General features: G+C 67.5%; 4 protein-coding genes across 51 annotated transcripts, besides 17 other annotated features; 1 reads left to right on the top strand and 3 right to left on the bottom strand.

Moving 5' to 3' along the window:
- HAGHL (hydroxyacylglutathione hydrolase like) lies at positions 40-2,649 on the bottom strand. Of its 15 annotated transcripts, none has more exons than NM_001323635.2 (9): positions 2,580-2,649; positions 2,141-2,343; positions 1,726-1,790; positions 1,522-1,639; positions 1,331-1,439; positions 1,151-1,251; positions 860-961; positions 667-746; positions 40-467 (listed from the first exon to the last, which is right to left on the bottom strand). In NM_001323635.2, exons 2-9 carry the CDS (start codon positions 2,243-2,245, stop codon positions 299-301), a joined length of 849 nt encoding a protein of 282 aa, NP_001310564.1. In that variant the 5' UTR covers positions 2,246-2,343; positions 2,580-2,649; the 3' UTR covers positions 40-298. The 15 variants fall into 15 exon arrangements, with proteins under 15 accessions (NP_001310564.1, XP_047290753.1, XP_047290751.1 ...); XM_047434797.1 differs by having other exon boundaries at positions 887-961; XM_047434795.1 differs by having other exon boundaries at positions 860-958.
- Positions 1,128-1,387: a silencer, noted in NCBI's record as "silent region_6953". NCBI's record gives its function as "represses an Ori minimal core promoter by ATAC-STARR-seq in GM12878 lymphoblastoid cells {active_cell/tissue: GM12878}" and the evidence as "EXISTENCE:reporter gene assay evidence [ECO:0000049][PMID:35858748]".
- Positions 1,418-1,597: a silencer, noted in NCBI's record as "silent region_6952". NCBI's record gives its function as "represses an Ori minimal core promoter by ATAC-STARR-seq in GM12878 lymphoblastoid cells {active_cell/tissue: GM12878}" and the evidence as "EXISTENCE:reporter gene assay evidence [ECO:0000049][PMID:35858748]".
- Positions 1,608-1,717: a silencer, noted in NCBI's record as "silent region_6951". NCBI's record gives its function as "represses an Ori minimal core promoter by ATAC-STARR-seq in GM12878 lymphoblastoid cells {active_cell/tissue: GM12878}" and the evidence as "EXISTENCE:reporter gene assay evidence [ECO:0000049][PMID:35858748]".
- Positions 1,838-1,987: a silencer, noted in NCBI's record as "silent region_6950". NCBI's record gives its function as "represses an Ori minimal core promoter by ATAC-STARR-seq in GM12878 lymphoblastoid cells {active_cell/tissue: GM12878}" and the evidence as "EXISTENCE:reporter gene assay evidence [ECO:0000049][PMID:35858748]".
- Positions 2,468-2,847: a silencer, noted in NCBI's record as "silent region_6949". NCBI's record gives its function as "represses an Ori minimal core promoter by ATAC-STARR-seq in GM12878 lymphoblastoid cells {active_cell/tissue: GM12878}" and the evidence as "EXISTENCE:reporter gene assay evidence [ECO:0000049][PMID:35858748]".
- On the top strand, positions 2,875-7,173 carry CCDC78 (coiled-coil domain containing 78). Of its 33 annotated transcripts, none has more exons than NM_001031737.3 (14): positions 3,312-3,447; positions 3,670-3,789; positions 3,875-3,961; positions 4,175-4,342; positions 4,462-4,518; positions 4,610-4,677; positions 4,766-4,844; positions 4,949-5,074; positions 5,246-5,433; positions 5,550-5,649; positions 5,819-5,898; positions 6,594-6,660; positions 6,737-6,833; positions 6,966-7,173. In NM_001031737.3, the coding sequence occupies exons 1-14, from the start codon at positions 3,388-3,390 to the stop codon at positions 6,983-6,985; spliced, it is 1,317 nt and encodes a 438-aa protein (NP_001026907.2). In that variant the 5' UTR covers positions 3,312-3,387; the 3' UTR covers positions 6,986-7,173. The 33 variants fall into 33 exon arrangements, 28 of the variants coding, with proteins under 28 accessions (XP_047289562.1, XP_047289561.1, NP_001364962.1 ...); NM_001378030.1 differs by having other exon boundaries at positions 6,733-6,833; NR_165384.1 differs by lacking the exon at positions 3,312-3,447 and adding an exon at positions 2,875-2,966 and having other exon boundaries at positions 4,175-4,309; positions 4,610-4,675; positions 4,949-5,433; positions 6,733-6,833.
- ANTKMT (adenine nucleotide translocase lysine methyltransferase) lies at positions 7,165-8,609 on the bottom strand. Of its 2 annotated transcripts, NM_023933.3 has the most exons (5): positions 8,319-8,609; positions 8,053-8,157; positions 7,814-7,954; positions 7,621-7,671; positions 7,165-7,446 (listed from the first exon to the last, which is right to left on the bottom strand). In NM_023933.3, exons 1-5 carry the CDS (start codon positions 8,478-8,480, stop codon positions 7,198-7,200), a joined length of 708 nt encoding a protein of 235 aa, NP_076422.1. In that variant the 5' UTR covers positions 8,481-8,609; the 3' UTR covers positions 7,165-7,197. The 2 variants fall into 2 exon arrangements, with proteins under 2 accessions (NP_076422.1, NP_001258214.1); NM_001271285.2 differs by lacking the exon at positions 7,621-7,671.
- Positions 8,049-8,968: a silencer, noted in NCBI's record as "silent region_6948". NCBI's record gives its function as "represses an Ori minimal core promoter by ATAC-STARR-seq in GM12878 lymphoblastoid cells {active_cell/tissue: GM12878}" and the evidence as "EXISTENCE:reporter gene assay evidence [ECO:0000049][PMID:35858748]".
- Positions 8,049-9,325: a biological region, named in NCBI's record as "H3K27ac-H3K4me1 hESC enhancer GRCh37_chr16:770430-771136".
- Positions 8,619-9,325: an enhancer, noted in NCBI's record as "H3K27ac-H3K4me1 hESC enhancer chr16:770430-771136 (GRCh37/hg19 assembly coordinates)". NCBI's record gives its function as "activates a minimal SCP1, AML or CMV promoter by ChIP-STARR-seq in primed H9 embryonic stem cells {active_cell/tissue: H9 hESC(primed)}" and the evidence as "EXISTENCE:reporter gene assay evidence [ECO:0000049][PMID:30033119]".
- Positions 9,326-10,033: an enhancer, noted in NCBI's record as "H3K4me1 hESC enhancer chr16:769722-770429 (GRCh37/hg19 assembly coordinates)". NCBI's record gives its function as "activates a minimal SCP1, AML or CMV promoter by ChIP-STARR-seq in naive H9 embryonic stem cells {active_cell/tissue: H9 hESC(naive)}" and the evidence as "EXISTENCE:reporter gene assay evidence [ECO:0000049][PMID:30033119]".
- Positions 10,100-14,637, bottom strand: METRN (meteorin, glial cell differentiation regulator). Its single transcript, NM_024042.4, has 4 exons — positions 14,362-14,637; positions 13,771-14,171; positions 12,763-12,822; positions 10,100-12,684 (listed from the first exon to the last, which is right to left on the bottom strand). Exons 1-4 carry the CDS (start codon positions 14,463-14,465, stop codon positions 12,368-12,370), a joined length of 882 nt encoding a protein of 293 aa, NP_076947.1. The 5' UTR covers positions 14,466-14,637; the 3' UTR covers positions 10,100-12,367.
- Positions 12,631-13,228: an enhancer, noted in NCBI's record as "H3K27ac-H3K4me1 hESC enhancer chr16:766527-767124 (GRCh37/hg19 assembly coordinates)". NCBI's record gives its function as "activates a minimal SCP1, AML or CMV promoter by ChIP-STARR-seq in primed H9 embryonic stem cells {active_cell/tissue: H9 hESC(primed)}" and the evidence as "EXISTENCE:reporter gene assay evidence [ECO:0000049][PMID:30033119]".
- Positions 13,229-13,826: an enhancer, noted in NCBI's record as "H3K27ac-H3K4me1 hESC enhancer chr16:765929-766526 (GRCh37/hg19 assembly coordinates)". NCBI's record gives its function as "activates a minimal SCP1, AML or CMV promoter by ChIP-STARR-seq in primed H9 embryonic stem cells {active_cell/tissue: H9 hESC(primed)}" and the evidence as "EXISTENCE:reporter gene assay evidence [ECO:0000049][PMID:30033119]".
- Positions 13,827-14,424: an enhancer, noted in NCBI's record as "H3K27ac-H3K4me1 hESC enhancer chr16:765331-765928 (GRCh37/hg19 assembly coordinates)". NCBI's record gives its function as "activates a minimal SCP1, AML or CMV promoter by ChIP-STARR-seq in naive H9 embryonic stem cells {active_cell/tissue: H9 hESC(naive)}" and the evidence as "EXISTENCE:reporter gene assay evidence [ECO:0000049][PMID:30033119]".
- Positions 13,827-14,468: a biological region, named in NCBI's record as "H3K27ac-H3K4me1 hESC enhancer GRCh37_chr16:765331-765928".
- Positions 13,879-13,938: a silencer, noted in NCBI's record as "silent region_6947". NCBI's record gives its function as "represses an Ori minimal core promoter by ATAC-STARR-seq in GM12878 lymphoblastoid cells {active_cell/tissue: GM12878}" and the evidence as "EXISTENCE:reporter gene assay evidence [ECO:0000049][PMID:35858748]".
- Positions 14,039-14,468: a silencer, noted in NCBI's record as "silent region_6946". NCBI's record gives its function as "represses an Ori minimal core promoter by ATAC-STARR-seq in GM12878 lymphoblastoid cells {active_cell/tissue: GM12878}" and the evidence as "EXISTENCE:reporter gene assay evidence [ECO:0000049][PMID:35858748]".
- Positions 14,569-14,878: a silencer, noted in NCBI's record as "silent region_6945". NCBI's record gives its function as "represses an Ori minimal core promoter by ATAC-STARR-seq in GM12878 lymphoblastoid cells {active_cell/tissue: GM12878}" and the evidence as "EXISTENCE:reporter gene assay evidence [ECO:0000049][PMID:35858748]".
- Positions 15,023-15,621: an enhancer, noted in NCBI's record as "H3K27ac-H3K4me1 hESC enhancer chr16:764134-764732 (GRCh37/hg19 assembly coordinates)". NCBI's record gives its function as "activates a minimal SCP1, AML or CMV promoter by ChIP-STARR-seq in naive H9 embryonic stem cells {active_cell/tissue: H9 hESC(naive)}" and the evidence as "EXISTENCE:reporter gene assay evidence [ECO:0000049][PMID:30033119]".

Raw genomic sequence — 15,650 nt, 5'->3', positions numbered from 1 at the left:
AACAGCTCCTCTCCTGGCACATCTGCCAACACTGACAACGGCCTTTCAAAGCTTTATTCATAGTTCGGAGGCCCCGTGTGCCCCACTTCCCAGACACCCAGGTCTCGGCGCCCACACAGGCCCCACTGAGTGGTCCTGTGTGTCCACCCGGGAAGCACCAGGTTGCCCACCCTCCGAGGCTGGGCAGATGGCTGGCCAGGGCCTCGAAGAAGGTTCCAGAGGTGGCCCTCATGTGGGTCCAGCTGGCCGAGGTCACGAGGAGGGACGCAGGCCCCAGCCCTGTGAGGGTCTGGGTGGCTCAGTCGTGTGGGGCTGCACTCAGGAGCCCCCACTGCAGCGCAAGGAGGGCCCGCGCCTGTGGCTGCCGCGGCTCGCCCGCCTGTTCGAAGCGCGCCCGCTCCTTGCATAGCGCCTCCAGGACGTCGGCGGGGACCGCCTTGCCCGTGAACTTGCGCACCGGCTCCTCTCTGCAGGGAGGGGTGCAGTGAGGCGCAGGGCCCGCTGCCCACGCGGGAGCATGGCGCCGAGGGGTGGGCGGGCAGGCAGGCACTTAATGAGCAGCCTCCCCCAAGCCAGAGATGCTCACTCAGCCCAACACGCAGTCCCCAGATGCCTTCCTAAGGGTCCACGTAACGGTGGAGGCCCCGGGACAACAGCCATACTCACGCCACCCGCAGGAAGGGGTTGTAGAGGCGCTCCTCGCCCAGAGTCGACGGCACAGTGGGCACGTCATCCTCATCCCTCTTCTGGAGTGACCACAGGCCCCGGTCACCATTAGGCCTTGTCTGAGAGCCCCCCCCACCCCGAAGCCTGTTCCCTCCCCCCCCACCCTCTTGCCGCGGCGGGAAAGGGGCCGTGCCTTAGCCCAGGACAGCTTGGCTCTCACGTGGTCGTTGCAGGGCTCCACTTTCTGGGCAAACTCCAGGTTGCTAAGCGTGTGCTCGTGGCCGCAGAACACCTTCTGGAGGAAGAGCGCTCGGTGAGCGCGCACGCGGCCAGGAAGCGGGGAAAGTGCTTGCGCCGGGGGCCTGGCCTCCCCTGCCCGGTCTGCCCTCAGGTGGGCATTCACTCTGCACCCCTAGCACAGTGAGGGTGCGGAGCGTGGGGGCTGTGCCCACGGGAGAAGAGGGGAGGGCCCAGGCCCGCTCACCGTCTCGGGGGGCAGGGTACCCAGCTCGGCCAGGCTCTGGTACATCTGCTGGGCGCTGCCCTCCAGGCACGAGCCGCAGCCGGCCACCGACAGCGCGTCGCCTGGCGGGGGAGGGCGGGTCAGAGCAGATGGGGCGGGGCCGGCGGGAGGCGGGGTGGGCGCGCTCCGCGCTGCGGGTACCCGAGAACAGGGCGGGTGGGTCCGGGCAATCGTCCTCCCACAGGAAGTAGCTCATGTGGCCGGCGGTGTGGCCGGGCGTCAGGAGGCAACGCACGTGGATGGCCCCGAACTGCGGCGGAGGAGCAGGCGGACCTGTGAGGGCGGGTGGACCCGGGGCGCCCTCCCCGCCCCTCCCGGGAGCGCGCGCTCACCCGCAGCTCCTCGCCGTGCGCCAGCCTGCGCGTCAGCGAGAAGATGCGCTCGTCCGCGCCCAGCACCGCCAGCCCGGGACGAAGCCGCGCCAGCTCCGGGTTTCCCCGCGCGTGGTCCCTGCGGGCGGGCGGGCGGGGGCCGGGTTAGGTCGGGTTGGGACAAGGCGGCGTCCTCGTGCCTCCCCGCGCCCCGCCGGCGCTCACCAGTGATGGTGGGTGGTCAGCACAGCGGTCAGAGACACCCCCTCCCGGCCCACGATCTCCAGCAGCTGAAAGGGACGGGAGTGACGGTAACACAGACGGTCCCGGTGGCCCACTCCCTCCATATCGGGATCCGCCGCGCTCACTGCCCCAGGCCGGCCAGAGCCCCGGGGAGCGCCGGGGAGCGGGGACCCAGCGGGCGGTGACTGCGCCCAGCGCGTGCAGGGACCGCCAGGCAGCAGCGAAAGGGCGGAGGCCAGAGGTGCCGTAACTTCAGGGAGCCCCAAGATAAACAAGGAACCCCAGCCGCCAATGACTTCCGGAGAGCAGAGCACGTGGGGGCTCGCTCCTACCAGGGGGGTCGGGGAGGCTCTCGGGGGACACGGCCGGGTCCCTGCGGCCCGCGGCCTGCCCTCACCCTCTTGGGCACAGCCACGTCCACGGCCACCGCCTCGCGCGTGAGCTCCTCGATGACCAGGTACATGTAGTTGTCCTCGAGCACGGGGATGACCTTGACCTTCATGGTCACGGAGCTCGGCCACCGGTGCCTGCTCCAAAACAGGCCCCCCAGCCCACGGTGCCCCTTCAGGGCGGGGCCCGCTCTCCACACCCTAGGAAGGGCTGTGCGAAGCGGGCTCGGTCAACACGCTGGGGGCCAAAAGAGAAGCCCGGCTCCCCAGGAACTCCCCGGCACTCGCGTGGAATTCCACGCACCGGGCTCCAGCAGGAGCGGAACCCGGCCGGTCCCCAACCAGCCCCGGCTCCGCCCCCAGTCCGAGCCCCAGTCCCCAAAGGCCACGCCTTCCTCCCAGGCCCCGCCCCTCGGCCCCCCGCCCTGCCGCCGCAAGACCCCTGACCCGGGACAGCCGCGTTCCCCCGCCGCCCGCCTCACCGGCACGGCTGTGCTGAGGACCCGAAGGACAGACTGACGGAGGCGGGGCCTCGGCCGCCGGTCACGGGGTCCGGACTGAGCGCGGCGCTGGGCTCGGGAGCCGCCAACCGCCCCCCTCCGCGGACGCGCCCCGCCCCCGCCCCCGCCCGGCCCGGATCCTGCGCGCGATGAGACCACAAGGCCCGCCGGCGGTGCGCGTGCCCGGTGGGGCGCCACGCGCACGCTCCGACCCCGCCGCGCCCGGCGCTGGCACCTCCTCCAGGAAGCCCTCCCGACGCCCCGGCTGAGCCAGTCGTTTCCGAGTTCTCCGGCCCCTGATGGGGACGTCTGCGCCCCTCTTCTCAGGCCAGAGGTGCAGAGATATACTTCCCCCGTCCCGGGGCTCAGCCAGCACTGCTAGGTACACAGAAGGTGTCCAGCGAGTGTAGCTCAGGGCATCCTGCGGGCGGGCTGCCGCTCCGTTCCGCGTGCTCGTCCGCTGCGCCCAGGCTGGGCGCTTTCACGCACCTGGTTCCATCTGCACAGGGTATGTGCAGGGGGCGCTGGGCCGCATTCCCCAGATGGGGAAACGGAGGCATGGAGAGAGGAAGAGCTATCCTCCCTCCTCAGCAACCACCGGTCTGGCCGGCCCCTGTGGGCGGTGCCCTGGGAGTCACCTGGGACCAACAGAGGCCTTGGCAACGCACTTAGCAGTGCCAGTGGCAGCAGCAGCCATGGGGAAGCCGGGCGTGGAGGCAGCACCGGGCTCGGAGCTGGCCAGGGTTCCCTAGCCTATGGAGCACGCAGCCACCACAGGCCCCAGGCCTGGACCTCCCTCTCGGCGGGTGGAGAATGTGAGTCCTCTGGGACTTGCCGCTCCTGCCATGGGGTTGAAGTCTGCCCGTTCCCCCAAAGGCCAGGAGGGTGCAGGTTCCTGCACCCTGGGCCTAATTTCAGCCAGGAGAGGGACTTTTACAGCTCAGCCAGGCAGGGAGGCGGGACTGGTGACTGCATGGGAGTGGGGCCACAGCCCAGCCTGGGACCCACCTGGGGAATGGGTGGCGGTACCTCCCCAGGTTGTGCTACGAGCCAAGGACTGGCTGCCAGGAGCTCCTGGGGGCACCGCAGTGTGGGCCACCAGCTTGGAAGCAGAGGTCCCACCAGATCTAGCGCTCAATAAGGAGCAGCAGCTGCAGGTGGGTGTGGGGCCCCAGCGTGCTCGTGAGGAGGGAGGGTGCCAGCAGGGCCCACAGACGCCACCTCTCACCTGGCCACCCACAGATCTCCAAGGAGCTGGTCGACATTCAGATCACAACCCACCACCTACATGAGCAGCATGAGGCTGAAATCTTCCAGCTGAAGAGTGAGGTGAGCAGCCGTGTGAACCAGCCTCAGTGCATGGGGGACGGGGGGTGCAGGCCCAGGACACGTGCCCTGCATGGGCATGCACACGCACATGGCATCTGTGGGTCTCAGCCTGCCTCTGAGTGCTGCGCGCCCCTGAGCGTGCACCGGGTGAATGTTCACCTACCCCAGGTGGCCCGCGGGCAGGTGCACCTGCTCATGCCAGTTGTCCCACAGATCCTTCGGCTGGAGAGCCGGGTACTGGAGCTGGAGCTGCGAGGAGATGGCACCAGCCAGGGCTGTGCAGTCCCAGTGGAGTCTGACCCCAGGCATCCCCGGGCAGCAGCCCAAGAGCTCAGACACAAAGCCCAGGTGCCTGGACACTCTGATGACCACAGATTCCAGGTTACCATGAGCATATGGAGAGCCTGGCTGGGAAAGGCCAGAGGGAAGCCTCAGCAGGGGCCTCAGTGAAACTGGGGCTCACCCACCCCTTAGCTTTCCCTGCCCTCCCTTCCATTCAGGTGCAGCCCAAGAACACCATGAACCCCGAGAATGAGCAGCACAGGCTGGGGAGCGGCGTGAGTGTGCAGCCACCTAGCTCAGGGGAGAGGGCAGCACCAGAGACCCCAAGCCTAGGGTCTCATCCAGCCAGCCCTGTGTGCCCCACAGCTGCAGGGGGAAGTGAAGTGGGCGCTGGAGCATCAGGAGGCCCGGCAGCAGGCACTGGTGACGCGTGTGTGAGTGGCCATCTCACCTGGGGCCCCATCCTGGAGCAGAGAGAACCCCTGATCGTGGGCCTGCTGAGCCTCACCCCCGTGTCTTCAGGGCAACCCTGGGCCGGCAGCTGCAGGGAGCCCGAGAGGAGGCCAGGGCAGCCGGGCAGCGACTGGCCACACAGGCTGTGGTGAGGCTCTGCCCTGACTGCTTGGAGACCTGGAGGGTGGGGGCCCCAGAAGCTCAGCCGGGGTCCACTCTCAGGGCACAGGTGGAGGGCTGCTTCCACCCCAGGTGCTGTGCAGCTGCCAAGGCCAGCTCCGTCAGGCAGAGGCTGAAAATGCCCGGCTGCAGCTGCAGCTCAAGAAACTGAAGGATGAGTACGTCCTACGGCTGCAACACTGCGCCTGGCAGGCAGTGGTGAGCCCTGCAGGAGCACCCTGAGGCCTAGGGAGCCCAAGCCTGGCCTGGGTGTGCTGGATAGCTTCAGGGAGACCCCAGGGCCCCGGCACTGCTCAGCCTGCTGGGGTGGGGGGATGGTTGGAAAAGATGGGGGGTGGGCCCCATGCGGACCCAGCCCGCCGCCTCCAGGAGCACGCAGATGGTGCAGGCCAAGCGCCAGCCACCACGGCCCTCCGGACATTCCTGGAGGCGACTCTGGAGGACATCCGGGCAGCGCACCGCAGCCGTGAGCAGCAGCTGGCCCGGGCTGCCCGCAGCTACCACAAGAGGCTGGTGGATCTGAGCCGCAGGCATGAAGAGCTACTGGTTGCCTACAGGTGGGCCCCGCTGGGATGGGAGGTGTCAGGCATCTGTGGGTCTCTAAGCCTCTGTGCCTCAAAGGCTTGGTGTGCAGCAGGAGTGGCCCCAGACAGACACTAGCCTACCCTGACAGGGCACCTGGGAACCCCCAAGCTATTTTTGACATAGCCAGCTTGGACCTGGAACCATTGCCCGTGCCCCTGGTCACTGACTTCAGCCATCGGGAGGACCAGGTGAGGCTAGAGACCCCCAGAAGCTCCAGGCCCGGGTGCCCCCCACCCACCCACTGCCCCACACTGGCCCCAGGCCTCATCCTGGGCTCAACAGAGACCTCAGCCCCGGGCCTCTGAGGGGCTTGCCTTGTTCAGCCAACTGAAACGTCCCCACCACAAACCTCTGTAGCACGGCGGGCCTGGGGCACTGCTCTCATCCCCAAAAAAGAGACCCGGTGGAGCCTCCCAGGGGGGAACATCAGAGCCACAGTGAGTGCCCTCATGGGTGTGGGGGAGGCCTGTGGGGGATGAGCAGAGAGCACAACGCCTGCACCCTGGGGCCCCCAGTTGCTCCACCAAGCCCCCGCCAGACAGGGTCTGGTCACAGCAATGCACTCAGTGGCACATCCCCACCCTGGGGTCCCTCCGTGGGTCCCGGCGACACTGATAATCACAGGAAAGAGAAGAGGGGCTGCTGCAGGTGGAGCTGGCCTTGAACACGGAGGATCAGGGAGAGCACACCTGAGGGAGGTTTCCGCTGAGACCTGGAGGACGCGAGGGGTGGGAGCAGGGCGCCTGGTGACCGGGCCAGCCCTTGCCTCTGGGCCTCCATGTTCCCAGCTGTACAATGGGCAGGGCTCCCCAAGGACCATTTCCTGGGGTTTAGGGCACACCCGTGTGGGGGTGGCATCCCTGTTGATGCTGGAGTCACTGTCTGGGCTGGCCTTGTGGTTTAGCCCTCCCCCAGCAGCCAGCAGACCCCCTGGGCCCGGGCTGTCCCTATACACGGATGGCTCCAAGGCCTGGGGGGGGCGCCACAGGAGCACGGGGGGGGCCCATGCCTCCCTCACTCACTCCCAGGTGTCCCCTCCCGGCTCTGGGAACCTGACTCAGCACGGTCACGTCTGTCCCTGTGTCACCATGCCAGCTCTCAAAACCACTCCTCCTTTCCTCTCCCCTCACAGGGGCCTGGACGCTGCATCCTGGGCCCAGATCCACCAGAAGCTCCGGGACTTCTCCCGCAGCACCCAGGTAGGAGGCAAGGGCTGGCCCAGGCCCATCCTCACGCCATGCCCCAGCTCATGGCTTACATCCCCATGCCAGGCAGAGCTGGAACGGGAGCGGGCACAGCTGCTGGTCCGGGCCACGATGGCTGAAGAGCAACTTTCTGAGCTACAGGAGTACGTGGACCAGCACCTGGGCAGGTGGGCAGAGGGAGCTGGGTGTGACCCCAGGGCCCTGGTCTGGTTGGAATGAAGGATGATGGCTGCCTCAGGCGCTAAAAGCAGACCTGTCCACAGCTGGGCAAGTCACTTAAGCATGGTTCCTCTGAGCAGGTACAAGCACGAAATCCTGAGGCTGAGGAAGCTGGCAGGTGCAGGGGACCCCTGGAAAGTGGGGGCTGTGCCTCCAGCCAAGCCCCAGCATCCAAGGACCGGCAGCCACTAGGCCGTCTCCCAAGGAGCAGAGCAGAGCAGAGCTCCTCAGCCAGCACAGAACCCTCCCACCCAGCCCCCCATAAAACATGAGTCAGGATAGAACCCACAGAGTCTTTATCGTGTCTAATACTCAGCTGGCCTGAGAAATAAGGCCCCCCGGGATGGGGGCAGAACTAGGTCCGGGGGCAGCCTGGATGGGTATCCGCGAGGAGGCGGCCTCCCCAGCCTGCCCACCCTCAGGAACATCATAAGCCCATACTCGGTCCAGGCCCTCGCCAACCGCGGTCACAGGCTGCCAGGTGGGGAGTGGGAAGCGCCCAGACACCACGCGGGCCCCAGCAGGCAGCTCTGTCCGCAGCTTGTCCTCCAGCAGCGGGAGCTGAGGGAGAGAACAGCAGAGTAGAGGGGGCGGGGGCGGGGCCGGTAGAAAACAGCCGCGCTCACCCCCCTAGCCCCAAGCCTAGCACCCACCAGGCAGGCCCAGGCCTCAGAGCAGCAAACACCCTGGGGTGTGGCTGGGGCTTCCCAGCGGGGCTGGCAACCCCGCACCTACCACGCTAGGGGCCAGGAACACAGACACGTTGCGGCAGTCCCTCAGGCTCACCTGCCGGAAGAGAAGTCGCCCCGGCCGGGGAGAGGCCTGGTGGGCACCGGGTCATCGCAGCTTCCGAGTCCCGGCCCCCAGCCCTCGCAGGTGTCAGCCGCACCTTGGGCTGTCAGCGGGTGGCCAGGGATCCCCAGGTTACCTTCCAGAGATCCTTGCGGCGATAGCAGACGCTGCCGGCACAGCCGGCCCTCCAGGCGTGCAGCCGCGCCAGCGCCACCAGCCAGGGGTTCAGCTCGTAGCCCACGGCCGGGCGGAGGCCGCACCTGTGGGCCGCCAGCACCTGTGGGCACCGAGAGTGTGGGAACCAGGATGTGGGCAGGGGCGCCCGCCAGCAGGTGGGCGGTGTGGGGCGGCGAAGACCCAGACGCAGGCACTTACGATCCTGCCGTCGCCAGAGCCCAGATCCACCGTTTTTCCGGGGCGTCCTCGCAGCAGCGACAACACGTGCTCCACCTGCCGCGCGCTCGCGCCGACGTAGGGCACCTGGACCGGGTGGCGGCGAGAGTCCACTGGCCGCTCCCGCCCCGCCCGCAGCCCGGCCCGAACTACCACACGGCGGGGCGGAGCTCACCCCGGCCACGCCCAGACCTTGAGACCCTGAGCGGCAGCCGAGCTCCCCTGCCCGGCCTGGCCCCGCCCCGCACCTGCAGCCGCAGCGGCACGCGCCGGAAGCCGGGCTGGAGCAGCAGCGCCCACACCGCGTAGGCTGCCAAGCCCGAGCCGGCCGCCGCCTGCAGCAGCTCCAGCGCGCCCAGCCGCCGCTCGCGCAGCTCCGTCAGCGCCTCGACCGGGTCGTCCTGCTCCATGGCTGCGGGACGCGCGGCTCGTCCGCCCAAGGTCCTTCCCGGCTCGGGTCCGCGGCCCTCGCAGCCTGGCCTGGGGCTGGCGGTGTGCCCTCTGCCTCCTGCCGGGAGCCGCCGCGCGACACCGGAAGTGGCCGGCAGAGCCTGCGCGGTCGGTCCGTGGCGCTGTGCGCTCCGCCCAGCCCGGCTGCCCTCCCGCGGGTTCCGGCGAGCTGCAGCCTCGGGGGCTCTGCCCCGCCGCGTCCGGCTCCAAGCCTGCGAGGGTCGGCTCCGTTGGTCCGCTCTGCGGACCGCCGTTTGCGGCCTGTGCTGGCTGCTGGCGACCCGCGGAAGGGGACAGGCAGGCCCTGCCCTGGGGGAGCGCACGTGCCGGCGGGAGTCGGGATACACCCGGCGATCTCACGGGCTAGAGCCCCAGGGAAACGGGGCTGCGCGTCTTTGTCGTGGAATGAAGGGAAGTCTGCCTTGGAGAGGGGCGGTCCTGGCCCCAGAACCAGCCGGGGGCTCGCGTGGGGCGGCTGGAGCCCAGGGAGCCGGTGGGAAAGCGGCTCCCCGGGATGAGACAGCGTCCAGGCGCCAGCACCCCCATGACTCTGCCTCGGGGAGACTGCTGGGGGCGCTCCGCTGACTCGGACACCCAGCGCCAGCCAGAGCCCGGGAGGACATCCTTCCATTTCCCTCCTACAGCCTGAGCGATGAGCCCCAGTGGGCGGTGAAGGGATGGGGGGTGGGGTCTGAGGGAGAAGGGCATGGAGGAGGGGCTGACACGGAGGAGAGCTTGAGCAGGCCCAAGAAGACAGATGCTGGCTCTCAGGCGAGTGTGGTGGGAGGAAAGCCGGATGTCACAGGCGGGGGCCTCTGGCACCTGCCAGCTACAGGGAAGGCAGACAGCCCCGGGAGTGGGGAGATCACCTTCCTTCTCCAGAAAACAACACACAAAAAGACTGAGTTCCTGGAGGTGACCTTGTGAAGCTGGGGGTGGGAAGCGCAAGTGGAAGAGCCGAGCTCTGGGTCAGGCAGCTGGGCCACGACCTCCACACCCAGGGTAGGGCTGAACACCCGTGAATGTCGGGGGTTGTCTATGCGTGCCCTGGCCTAGCTCCTCCTTAGCCATCCGTGGCTGGGGTCTAGAGCCCCTGCAGGGACAGAGGCTGCTTCCAGACATGGGTATGCCGCAGACCACAGCCCCCAGCTCCCAAGTGCAGAGTCTCACAGGCCTGCCCACGTTGGCCCCAGCCCCACCCAGCTCAGCGTGTCCTGTCTCCTGGGGGCCTGGAACGGCCCTCCCAGGAAAGGAAGGGTGTATGTACACTGAGCTCTAGGGGGAGCTGACAGCGCCCATTCCTGTCCTGCTGCCTGCATTATTCCCTGCACCTAGAGCAGTTACCTAGGAGGCTTACTGGATGAATGCACCTAATTGGACTCTAGCGTGCACTCTCCACTCTTCTTTTTTTTTTTTTTTTTTTTTTTTTTTTTTTTTTGAGACTTGAGTCTCGCTCTTTCGCCCAGGTTGGAGTGCAGTGGCGCAGTCTTGGCTCACTGCAACCTCTGCCTTCCAGGTTCAAGTGATTCCTCTGCCTCAGCCTTTTGAGTAGCTGGGATTACAGATGCATGCCACCATGTCTGGCTAATTTTTTGTGTTTTATTAGAGACGGTTTCACCATGTTGGCCAGGATGGTCTCCATCTCCTGACCTCATGATCTGCTTGCCTGGGCCTCCCAAAGTGTTGGGATTACAGGCGTGAGCCACTGCGCCCAACCTCCCCACTCCTCTCCCGTCCACACCAGGCACTCTGCTGCTTGGCCTTTGGGCACTCTGCAGCCACCTGTACCTGTGTGAACTGGCACTTGCCTGGCGGTGTCTGTGATCCACAGGCCCCAGGCTCCTGTAGCTCCTGCCCACCTGCTCACCCACACTGTCTCCCTATCTCCCATGCCACTTTGGCCACCTGTCCCCAGGGCAGGCATGAAGCCCCTGGTCTAATGCTCCAAGACCCATTTGGGCACCGTGGTGCTCCTGTGGCCCTGTGTCTCATGAGAAGACAGCTGGTTGCAAAGCCAGGGCTTTCTCTGGGAGGGTCTGTAGGTGCAAGGCTCAGGCACTTCCTGAGACAGGTAGGTAGAAGCCAGGGTTCGGCCAGGGCCCAGCCCAGGGTGTTTGTGAACAGGTGGACTTGGGTGTGGCTGAAAAGGAGAGGTTGTAGGAAGCTGGCCAGAGAATCAGGGCAAGTGCCAAAGGTAAGGGGGTTGCTCGGCCCACGGGAAAGCCTCTCCAAGACAGGAGTGGAGGAGGCGGTGCAGGAGGGCACACGGGCTACCTCCTTTTCTAGTGTTTGCAGAAGTGTTTGGGCTGGGGGCAGATGGATGTAAGGCTATGGGCCCCAGGGAGTGGTCAGGGCTGAAGATGAAAAAGTGGAGGTTGTCCAAGGGTTATTGGAGGCTGCCCCAGAGGAGCGGTCCTGTGCCTGAGCCCTCAGCGTGCCACAGTTGGGAGAGGAGAGAAGCAGCAAGGAACCTGAGGAGGGGCAGAAGGTGGGAGAACCCCCACAGTGCATGACACCCAGTGGCTGCGCTCCTCACCCATCCTCATCAGCCCTGCGGCAGGCAGGTGATCTGTGTGAAAGGGTAAGTCTCTTGCACGTGCAGTGGAAGTCCCAGGGCGGCGCTGGAGGTGACCCCCCTCCCCAGGTGTCCACAGAGGGCATGGCACTCATCAGGCATCTGCATCCGCTAACCTAGAGAAAGGACCGTGTTTGTGGGCCCTGCACAGCTGTGTCCCTCACACAGCCTCAGTTTCCCCCTTGAAAGCTGGGGGCTTCATCTGCCTGGGCAGGGCCTCTGGCCTCCACCCCCACCCCGGCCCAGGCGAGAATGGAAAGCCATTTCTGGGGCTCAGCCCAGGGGTCCCTGGCCCTTGAGCCATGGCTGTCTCTTTCCCAGGATCCGAGGGGTTGGGGTGAGAGGAGGCAGCTCACACAGGGCCAGGTGTCCTGGAACACCCCCACCCAGGGGCTTTTAGCCTCGGAGCCTTGGGCTGTGGCTGTCCCAAACCTCACTGGCCCTTTATGCGGCTGAAAGGCCGAGGAGGAAGGCGGAGACAGTGACAATGGGGCCAGTGGCGGGAAACGGTCCTTAGAGACCCCATTGTGCACCCCGCCCGCCGGAAACAGGCAACAAGCAGGACCCTGCAGAGGGGACCCCACACCCTTCGGGCTCCTCGCCACGTCTGGATGCTCAGCACGTCGAAGGGGCCTGAGGACAGAGGGGCCCATTCTTCCCCAAGGGCGGGACGGGGCCAAGGATGACTCTGCGGGCTCACAGCAGCCATGGGGGAAGTCGGCACCCTGCCAGCCTGCAGCCCCTTCCCTCACAGGCCTGGCTCAGAGCCGGAGCGCTGTGCGCCCGCCTGCCCCCACCGTACCCGAGGGACCCTATGCCCCTCTGCCCCTTTCCTCTCCTGCTGAGCCCCAGAAGCACCTGGCACGGGAGGCAAGTGGGAGCCAGCCAGGGAAGCAGGCAAGGGTGCGGGCAAGGACGGGGCTGGTGGGTGCAGCAGAGCAGAAGCTTGCATGAGTGCAGGTCCCCACGTGCCCCCCACCCAGCAGCGGCCCCTCCCCGGAATGTGGGTGTAGCTCCTCCTGACATCTGCTCTCCCTCTCAGTTGCCAAATGGTCTTGAACAAGATACCATTCCCCTGAGCCTCAGTCTCCCGCCAGGAGGCAGGAATTGGAGCCATCCTCACAGCTGCGAGGCAGGCCCAAGGCTGGGCTGGACACAGGAGACCAGGTCCACAGCAGCTTGCGTGAACAGAGTTCTTATTGATAGTCCCATCACCTCCAAAGCAGTGGGCCCACCCTCCCTCCTACCAGCCCCTCCCCAGCACCCAGCCCCTCAGTGCAGCGCCACCTCGCAGGGGTGGAGGTGGGCAGCACGGGCAGCCTCGTAGGCACGGCGGAACTCCTGGAATCGTGGGGCACAGCCCAGCCGGGCCTCCCCAAAGCGGCTCCAGCCCATGAAGAGGAAGGTGCCTGGGCCCGGGTGGACGCCACAGCGCAGTGGGGTACGAATGGAGGTCAGCCCCTGGTCCCCGGATCGCCCCGCCTGGAACAGCGGCGGTGTCTGGCGGAGGACACGGGCGGCCACCACAGTGATGACAGACTCCTGCAGCTCCACGTCATGGGTGACCCCATGGATGATCCCGTGAATTACTGTGGGGAGGCATGTGGCTGCGGTAGGCATTCAGGGGAAGGCAGGCTCCAGGCTCCCCCCATGGCGGGGACACTCACCGAAGTCGCTGGTGCATGCGGCCAGGAGCAGCTCAGCGTCGCTGCAGGGCCTGCAGGCACCTGGCATGCAGAGGGGGTGGTGAGGAGAGGCCCTGCCCTCTCCCGGCATCACCCCAGGCCCCGTCCCTTGTCCGCACAAGCGGCAGGAGGCAGCAGGCAAATGAGCAGAGCCCACGCTCAGGGCCTGATGGCACCTGGGGGTCCCAGAGAGCTACACAGCAGATGTGCACGCCCTCGGCGACACCTGTACTCAGGAAACACACTTGCAGGCGCGTACCTCCAAGGCAGGAATGCACACAGACGTGGGCCTGGGGGCCATGCCTAGCGATCAGCTGTCCTGGGCCGCCCTCCTGCACTCCCATCTGACATATGCACCCCAGCATCTGGGACCCCTCTAGTTTCCCGGATCTGAGGTCTGAAGAGCAGCAGCCCAGCTAGGGTGATAGGAAGTGGGGGCAGAGGAAGGGTGGTCTGGGGTCCCTGGCCCAGGGCCAGGGGGCAGAATAGCGAGAGCCCATCCCTTTCAGGGTCAGGCGCCAAGCTCCAGGAGAGCCAAGCAAGAGCTGGGCCTGGTGCCCTGCAGGGAGGCGAGCGGCGTCTCCATGGTGACCGGGCTGCACACTGGACTTTTGTTGGTTGGGCTGGGGGAGGGGAGAGAGGTCACCGCTGGGCCAGGGAGCCCCGGACAGCTTTGGCCGGAGGCTTCGATTCTGTCCCCACCATCTCTTCCCCCAACCGTTCAGGGACCAGAGGCCCAGGATTGCTGGGCCCGGCCTCCCCTTCCCTCCACTCTGCCCCTGCCAGCTCTTTCCAGAGATGAATCGGGAAGGGAGGGCGGGGAGGCCATCCCTCCCCAGCAGTCCCAGGCTGTGTGGCCTGACAAGCCCATCCAACCCTTGTAGCTCACTTTTTCCTTCTGCAGTGGGGCCGACAAGGCACATTCCCGCCAAGCCCAGGCAGGGTAAGACTTCGGGACTCCCACCCTGTCCCAACCAGACCGCCACTCACCGTCTACGCCGAGACCGTGGGCCTGCGGGGGCAGCTCGGGGCGCCCGTCCTCGCGCAGCTCAAAGCGGAAGGCGGCCACGCGGCGGCTGATGTCCTGGTGCGGCGTGGCCTGCAGGAAGAGGGCCCGGCGCTCGCGGGGACCCCAGCGCACGCAGCGGCCCCCTGCCGGGCCCGGGCCCTCGGCCAGCAGCAGCTCCAGGGCGCCCCCTGCGCGCTCCGCGAAGACCTGGGCGCCCGCGAAGGGCCGCACCGGCCGCAGACAGGCGATGCCGGGCCGCGCTCTGGGATCGGGGCCGCCCAGGGTCAGGCGCAGCGCCCCAGCCGGGTACAGCCACTCAACCGCGCCCTCCGCACAGGCCAGGGCCAGCTGCCCCACGCTGCCGGGCTCCTGGGTGAGGCCGCTGGGGACAGGACGGGACGGGGCGCTGAGACGGGGGCGGGTCCCCGCCCGGCGCAGCCCCCGCTCCCTCCCGAGGCCGCCTCGCGGATGGGGAAACCGGCCCAGCGCTCTGCGCGCTCCGAGGGGCGCCTGGGGGGTCCTAGCCGCAGCGCACCCCGTCCTAAGTGCGGGGACAGCCCCCCGGACCGTACCTGCCCCTCCAGCTGCAGCGCTCCTCGGAGTAGCCGGCGCGGGCAGCCGGGGCCAGGAGGCCGCAGCACAGCGCGCAGAGCAGCGCCGCGGCCGGGAACCCCATGGCACGGCGGGCGGCGTCCGGGGAGTCGGGGCTCTCACCACCGCTGCCCCGGCGGGGCGCGGGTCCGGGCGGCGGCGGGAGCAGCCGGGGGCGCCGGCCGCCCGGCCCCGGCGAAGCCCCCAAGCCCGCGGCCGCTCCGCCTGCCGCGCAGCCCCAGCGCCGGGGCCGCCTTGGAGCGGGTCGGGAAGGGGGCGGGGCCTGCGGCGTGTCGGCCAGTCGCGGCGCGGCCCGGAACTTTCCGCCAATAGCAGGCGCGGGGCGGAGCGGGGGCGGGGCCGGAGCTCGGGCGCCGCCGGAGGACTATCCCACGGTCCAAGCGCCTCGAGGGTTGGGGGGGGCCTTGGCGCGGAAGGGAGGCTCCTTGCCCGCCCCGCGCTGTGCGTCTCTCCTTCGCCGCGCCCTCACCCTGGCCTCGCCCCCCGCGCTGTCCCGATCGGAGTCCTGGAGCCTCTGATGGAGCCGAGGTTTTGATGTCCACTGGAACCTCGGGGTGGCGGTAGGGAAGGTGGCCCACCTGGTGGTTCCGCCTCGCGGGCGGCCGGGCCTGCTCCTTCCTAACACTGGGACCTGGGCCTGTTGGCCACATCCCTCCCAACCAGGTCCGGTCCTGCTGACCAGAGGCCGGTGGAGCCCCAGAGGAGAGGGGTCATGACTCCAGAGGCGGGGAAGGCCTGGCCTGGGGGCTGCGCCTTGGAGCGGGGCCAGGCCTCGGGTTTTGGTAAGGCCGTCTGCAGGAGGGGGTCCTGCTGAAGAGCGCGCAGCCCGCAGGCTTAGGCCCCTTTCCTCAGACCTAGCGGCACCCCATAGTTGCCGGATGACCGACCCCGGGCCAGACGGGGCTCCTGGAGGGGCGTGAATGGAGCAGCCACGGGCACCCCTGCAGGCCTGCAGCACGTGGAGACACAGGAGCTGGGAGGACACCCCTGGGCCACAGGAGCAGCCCCCACCAAGATGAAACAAGCAGAAACAGGCGATTCGCAAACACACTGTAGCCTCAGGCTGGAGCAGTGTGGGATTCCCAGCATCCGGGACTGCTGAGTTGGCCTGATGGGAGGAAGTGGGCAGTGGCTGGCCAGGTGGACAGGAAGAGAATGGGGGAGAGCAGACAGCCTGGGTCAAGGGCCTGAGGAAGGAGCTCTTGGCAGCCCAGTGAAACCCCAGGGCATGGGTGGTGGGTGGGGACGA

Source organism: Homo sapiens, chromosome 16 (genome assembly GCF_000001405.40).
Source record: "Homo sapiens chromosome 16, GRCh38.p14 Primary Assembly".
Taxonomy (NCBI): domain Eukaryota; kingdom Metazoa; phylum Chordata; class Mammalia; order Primates; family Hominidae; genus Homo; species Homo sapiens.
Note: the sequence above shows the minus strand (reverse complement) of the source record. Positions and strands in the feature narration are given on the sequence as shown.

Coding starts and splice junctions, on each gene's coding strand:
- HAGHL (NM_001323636.2), bottom strand. CDS start 2,245: ATGAAGGTCAAGGTCATCCCCGTGCTCGAGGACAACTACATGTACCTG. Junction 1,640..1,725: donor CTGACCACCCACCATCACTG/GTGAGCGCCGGC, acceptor GCCCGCCCGCAG/GGACCACGCGCGGGGAAACC. Junction 468..859: donor CCAAGCTGTCCTGGGCTAAG/GCACGGCCCCTT, acceptor CCCTCCCTGCAG/AGAGGAGCCGGTGCGCAAGT.
- CCDC78 (XM_011522356.2), top strand. CDS start 3,388: ATGGAGCACGCAGCCACCACAGGCCCCAGGCCTGGACCTCCCTCTCGG. Junction 3,790..3,874: donor ATAAGGAGCAGCAGCTGCAG/GTGGGTGTGGGG, acceptor GGCCACCCACAG/ATCTCCAAGGAGCTGGTCGA. Junction 5,434..5,549: donor GAGCTACTGGTTGCCTACAG/GTGGGCCCCGCT, acceptor CTACCCTGACAG/GGCACCTGGGAACCCCCAAG.
- ANTKMT (NM_023933.3), bottom strand. CDS start 8,480: ATGGAGCAGGACGACCCGGTCGAGGCGCTGACGGAGCTGCGCGAGCGG. Junction 8,158..8,318: donor GCGTGCCGCTGCGGCTGCAG/GTGCGGGGCGGG, acceptor CACCCGGTCCAG/GTGCCCTACGTCGGCGCGAG. Junction 7,447..7,620: donor TGTTCCTGGCCCCTAGCGTG/GTAGGTGCGGGG, acceptor TCTCTCCCTCAG/CTCCCGCTGCTGGAGGACAA.
- METRN (NM_024042.4), bottom strand. CDS start 14,465: ATGGGGTTCCCGGCCGCGGCGCTGCTCTGCGCGCTGTGCTGCGGCCTC. Junction 14,172..14,361: donor CGCTGCAGCTGGAGGGGCAG/GTACGGTCCGGG, acceptor TCCTGTCCCCAG/CGGCCTCACCCAGGAGCCCG. Junction 12,685..12,762: donor CGCATGCACCAGCGACTTCG/GTGAGTGTCCCC, acceptor GCCTCCCCACAG/TAATTCACGGGATCATCCAT.